This window comes from Homo sapiens, chromosome 6 (genome assembly GCF_000001405.40).
Source record: "Homo sapiens chromosome 6, GRCh38.p14 Primary Assembly".
In the NCBI taxonomy this organism is placed as follows: domain Eukaryota; kingdom Metazoa; phylum Chordata; class Mammalia; order Primates; family Hominidae; genus Homo; species Homo sapiens.
In genome coordinates, this window is record NC_000006.12 from 90,475,817 (window position 1) to 90,480,845 (window position 5,029).

Here is a 5,029-nt window from a genome sequence, read left to right on the forward strand (position 1 = left end):
TTTCCTGAGCTAGCCTGGGAACCTAAGCACTGTCATTCACTGGTTTTAAGTGTGAATGTGTTTCAAATTTCAAATAGTAGCAATACACTTGGCATTTCAGAACATAACTGCTAGCAAGTTATATGCTGCCTGCTTGTGCACCAAGGTCCAAAAACTGCTTCTCTGTGTTTCAATTGAAGATGACTCAGGTGAATTACAGAACACCACATGGTTGAAATTCCTTTTATATGTGGTCTTCTGGGTTTCAGAAGGGCTGTCCACATGCAGGCCTTCTAAAGAGCCAACCACCAGTTTCCTGTATACCCCAGCCTTGGGGCTTTTTGCCATCTCTCTGCTTTGTTATTAAACAGTCAGAAGTGGGCTGGGGGTGGTGGCTCACGCCTGTAATCCCAGCACTTTGGGAGGCTGAGGTGGTTGGATCACTTGAGGCCAGGAGTTCAAGACAAGCCTGGCCAACGGGGCAAAACCCTATCTTTACTAAAAATACAAAAATTAGCTGGGTGTGGTGGCAGGTGCCTGTAATCCCAGCTACTCAGGAGGCTGAGGCAGGAGAATTGCTTGAAGCTGGGAGGCAGAGGTTGCAGTGAGCTGAGATCACGCCACTGCACACCAGCCTGGGCGACAGAACGAGACTCCACCTAAAAAAAAAAAGTTAACAGTGAGAAATGGAGTCCCCTTTGTCTGGACGGGGAGCGGCTGGCTGGGAGGAGGATGTCAATGGGAGACCGAGGGGAGACAGCTGCAGAGACTGCAGCAGCCTTGGAGGGCAGGACAGAGGTGGACGTGGGAGCACTAGTGGACAGGCCATGTGTACATGGAGGATACTCAAAAGGCAAGGACTGCCTGACACTTGCAAACCCGCACCACCCCCCTCCTGCCTCTAGGGTGCCAGGCTCTTGAAGAAATATATACTTACCCATTTTTGAAAGGTTGACGGGTCTTCTGAGCGTTTGAAGGGGTATTTTCTGTTGTTCAATTGTGAACATATTTGGTTGCAGTTTTGAAGGCTTTTCCTCTAGAACTTTTCATGTCCTATTAGCTGATAACACTCCTGAGCATGAATGTCTCTGTGCTACTGCCCTCTAGGTGTGTTGGAAAAAATAGAGTGCTAATCCCACGCACCTGCTTTCAATTCGGCCCACATGAGTCTGGTGCCAGAGGTTTGTTCACTCTGAATATTTCTACGCAATCTTCAAAACCTGCATTTTTTTACGCTAACACATCTCTGCTGTCAGCATCTTAATGTACACACACACACACACACACACACACACACACACACACACACACGTCGGGGCTCCATAGTCCTACCATTTGTGTTCTCAAAGGGAAGAGTTGGCGAGGGTGAGCTAGGATGACCACTAGATGACAGTATATAAAACACCTCTTAGGTGCTCAGGTGAACGAAGTTTGAATACTGCCCAGAGCTGCGATTCCCAGATTCTGATCTGTAAAATTTTTTAAAAAGGAAAAGAAGGCCCAGTGCCTGTAATACCAGCACTTTGGGAGGTTAAAGTGGAATAATTGCTTGAGTACAATTCGAGACCAGTCATAGTGAGACCCCATCTCTACAAAAAAGAAAAAATTAGCCAGGTGTGGTGGCACACACCTGTAGGCCCAGCTTCTTGGGAGGCTGAGGTGGGAGGATTGATTGAGCCTGGAGGTTGTGGCTGCAGTGAGCCGTGATCACACTGCGTGGGCAACAAAACAAGACTCTGGGCATTCCAGCTTGGGCAACGAAATGACACCCTGCCTTAAAAAAAGAAAAAGAAAACGAAAACAGGAGAGAGCCATTGGCTTGCCAAGTTTTTATCTTGCCAGGGGACATCATTAGATATAAATCAACTTCCATTCCTCCCTAAGAGAAACATTTTAGTCATGAAGAAATAGGAAGGACAGAATCTCAAAACAAGAAATTATCTTGTAAATCTCAAAGTAGCTTTATGAAAAACTTACCACATTGTTCTTTTGTGCTCATTTTGATGCAGACCAGTGAAAGAATCATCATGAACAAGCATTTGGGAAATAAACCTAGAGGAAGATTTATAATTCCAGGTTGTGTTTCCATGAGTGGAATTAAGATAATCGATCTTGCACTATGTTATCTTCAAAATGAATCTAAGAGCTAAGTAAAGTTTCAATCCAGAGACACAAAGAAGAAACAGGGGTTGACATTTGATAAAACTCATGCTATAGTCTGAATGTCCCCCAAATTCATGTGTTGAAACTTAATCTGCACTGCATTGTCTTAAGAGGTGGGGCCTTTGGGAAGTGTTTAAGTAGTGAGGGCTCCACCCTCATGAAGGGTTTAGTGCCTTGTAAGAGGGTTGGAAGGAGCCAGCTTAGACTCCTCTGTTGCTCTTCCACCAGGTGACAACACCTAGATGGCCTCATCTATGAGGAAGGAATGAGCCTTCATCAGACACTGAACCTGCCAGCACCTTGATCTTGGACTTCCTAACCTCCAGAACTGGGAGAAATAAATTCCTTTTCTTTATAAATTACCCAGTCTCAGGTATTTTGTTATAGCAGCCGAAATGGACTAGGACACTCACTAAGATGAGGCAAGCACACAGGAATCGCTGCATATGTACTGGGTGTGTTGCTGAGCCACCCCTCCCCCCGCTTCATCTGGGCCATCTCAGCCTTCTGTTTGTCAGGAACAAAACTGATGATTGCTAAGCCTCCTTGGCCCTAGGGATGGGGCTGTTGAGCTGAACCTCCGCTGAACCAGGCCTGTAGGAACTGCATTCAGGTCCCAGGCTGGTAGGGAGGGTCAGCTCAGGCTCTCCCTCCTGCCATCTTGCTTGACCTCACCAAAGAATTCTGAACCAGAACATGGGTGTGCAACCTTCTGTGGCAGAGATGGGAGAAGTGAGATGCTATGCCCTGTTAAACAATGTGCTAAACACTAATATCACGAGTCAAATTCTAACTTTCAATTAGAGAGCCCTGATTTCAAATTCTGGGGCTTGGGCAAGTCACTTCACCTTTCTAATATTCAGCCTTCTTGTTTGAAAATAGGGCCATTCGTAACACCTACCTCTCATAGCCATTGTGAGATTAAATGAGGTAATCTACATAAAGTATATAATGTAGCACTTACTGTGTGTTCAATGTGCATTAACTAATATTAATAACATTGGTGCAGGGTGCTCCTTTCTAGAGGCAAGCAGGCTGGATGATCCTAAAAGATGCTTTGAGATGCGTGCTAAACATCATGTTTTGGAAGAAATTTGCTGCCAGTAAATCCCTACCTCTGAGTCTCTGGTTTCGTTTTAACAGCTCGTACTCTACAGGTGGTCACAACGCGGAAGGGATTGGAGTGTTTGCAGCCTGGGGAGTTGCTTCTGTAGTTGAGGAGATCTGGAGTGTCGCCTTCTGGATCCGAGTGGCCCTGCTTATTCATAAGGATGGAAATGACTTGGTATTTAAACAGTGGGGAGTCCAGTTAAGCTCTTCTCTCATTGACTATATTCAAGATCCCATAGTAGGTATCTCCCCAGCAAAACTACACAGCCTCTGGTGAGGCTGGAGAGCACAGAGAAAACTCCAGATTACCAAACACACTGACAGTGACACCACACCCTGGAGCTGTGCGGTGACTCACCCTGCCTGGGTAGGAAAACTCTCCCGTCACTGCTGTGAGCAGGCAACGTTAAGGGGTCCTTGGAAGGCTGTGCTTGTACTGCCATCTAGTGGTTTAAAAAAGTACGGCTCGCTTTGGGAAGGGTCCTGGATCCCGTAGTCCGAGCTGTGCAGTCAATCACTAAGCACTAGCATCTTCCTCATGAAAATTTAGTAAGATGAATATTTTATTGAAAACTTGGCATGCTAATTTCCTAATTTAATTTCATCATTCCCCCCACAAAGCACTGAAAAGTTTGTGAGAGTCAAAATAGAGTGAAGAGCACCAGCCTAGGAGTTCGAAGGCTCCTTTGAGTGACAACTCCCAATATAACTTGGAGGAAGTGGCTTAAACCTTCTGTTTTCTCTAGGAAAAAAAATGGAAGTTAATTCCCCAAGTGTACCTCTCAGTAAATGGCTGGGAGGTTGAAATGTGGAGCCACTTGTTCTCCTCTTTCTAACATGCTGCTTCCCTGGCCCCATGTTCTCTGGCTTCTAAGCACACGTTCTTTGCATTTCTTTTTAATTTCTGAATTTCAGGGAAGTAGTCTTTATCTATGGAGACCCTTTGGTTTCGGAATGTGGGTTTTTCCCTTGAATCAACTGCCCCAAGAATATCAAACAACGCTTACATGGGCCTGTTCTCTGTGGGTGCTTTTCTCCTTGACATAGCAACAGTTACACCAGCTCTACCCCAAAATGTGCCAAGGTCTTGATACACAAAATTTGGGTGTTGTGTTGAAGTGATAGGTTCAAGATCCTAAGGGTCAATAGTCTGTAAACCTACTGTTAGGGAATTTTAAACTTCTCCAGTGTGGTGTGTGAGCGCAAAGGAGCATAGGACAGGAACTCCAAAGACCTTGGTCTACTCTCCAGTGCCCTTTGATTCTGGGCTCCTCACTTAACATCAGCACCTTCATCTGTAAAATGGGACTATATAATAAGAACTTGTCAGGATTGCTAAGGCGATCCAGTGAGGTAATGTTTGAGACAGTTATGTGTAAAGCAGAGAGGCCTGTACTGGTGTTAGTTACTGTCTTTATGATTGTTCCCTCATTTGGCACCTCTTCTATAGCAATTATGGTACTGGATTTGGGGTAACCACCACTACCTCAGGTTTACTAGGTGTATGTGTTTTTCCCTCCAAGATTTACTGTATTTAAACAATTGATGGATCCACCTACTGTCCTTATTTGAAGATGATGTAGTCACAGCCTATGTGGTTTTGTGAGCCAGCAAAGAATAGTTTAATGGTTCAATTAGCTCCTTGAGGAGATACATGGTGGTTGAGATATGCCAAATAAGCAGCATGCAACCTCTGTGGGGAGAAAAGAAGTCAGCCGACTTCTTGTGAAGACACAGCTTCCTGCAGAGCCAGATGTAGCTCGCGTTTTCCTCTTGC

At 45.2% G+C, this 5,029-nt stretch overlaps 1 annotated feature.

The window, feature by feature from the left end:
* Nucleotides 3,672–3,781: a silencer, noted in NCBI's record as "silent region_17399". NCBI's record gives its function as "represses an Ori minimal core promoter by ATAC-STARR-seq in GM12878 lymphoblastoid cells {active_cell/tissue: GM12878}" and the evidence as "EXISTENCE:reporter gene assay evidence [ECO:0000049][PMID:35858748]".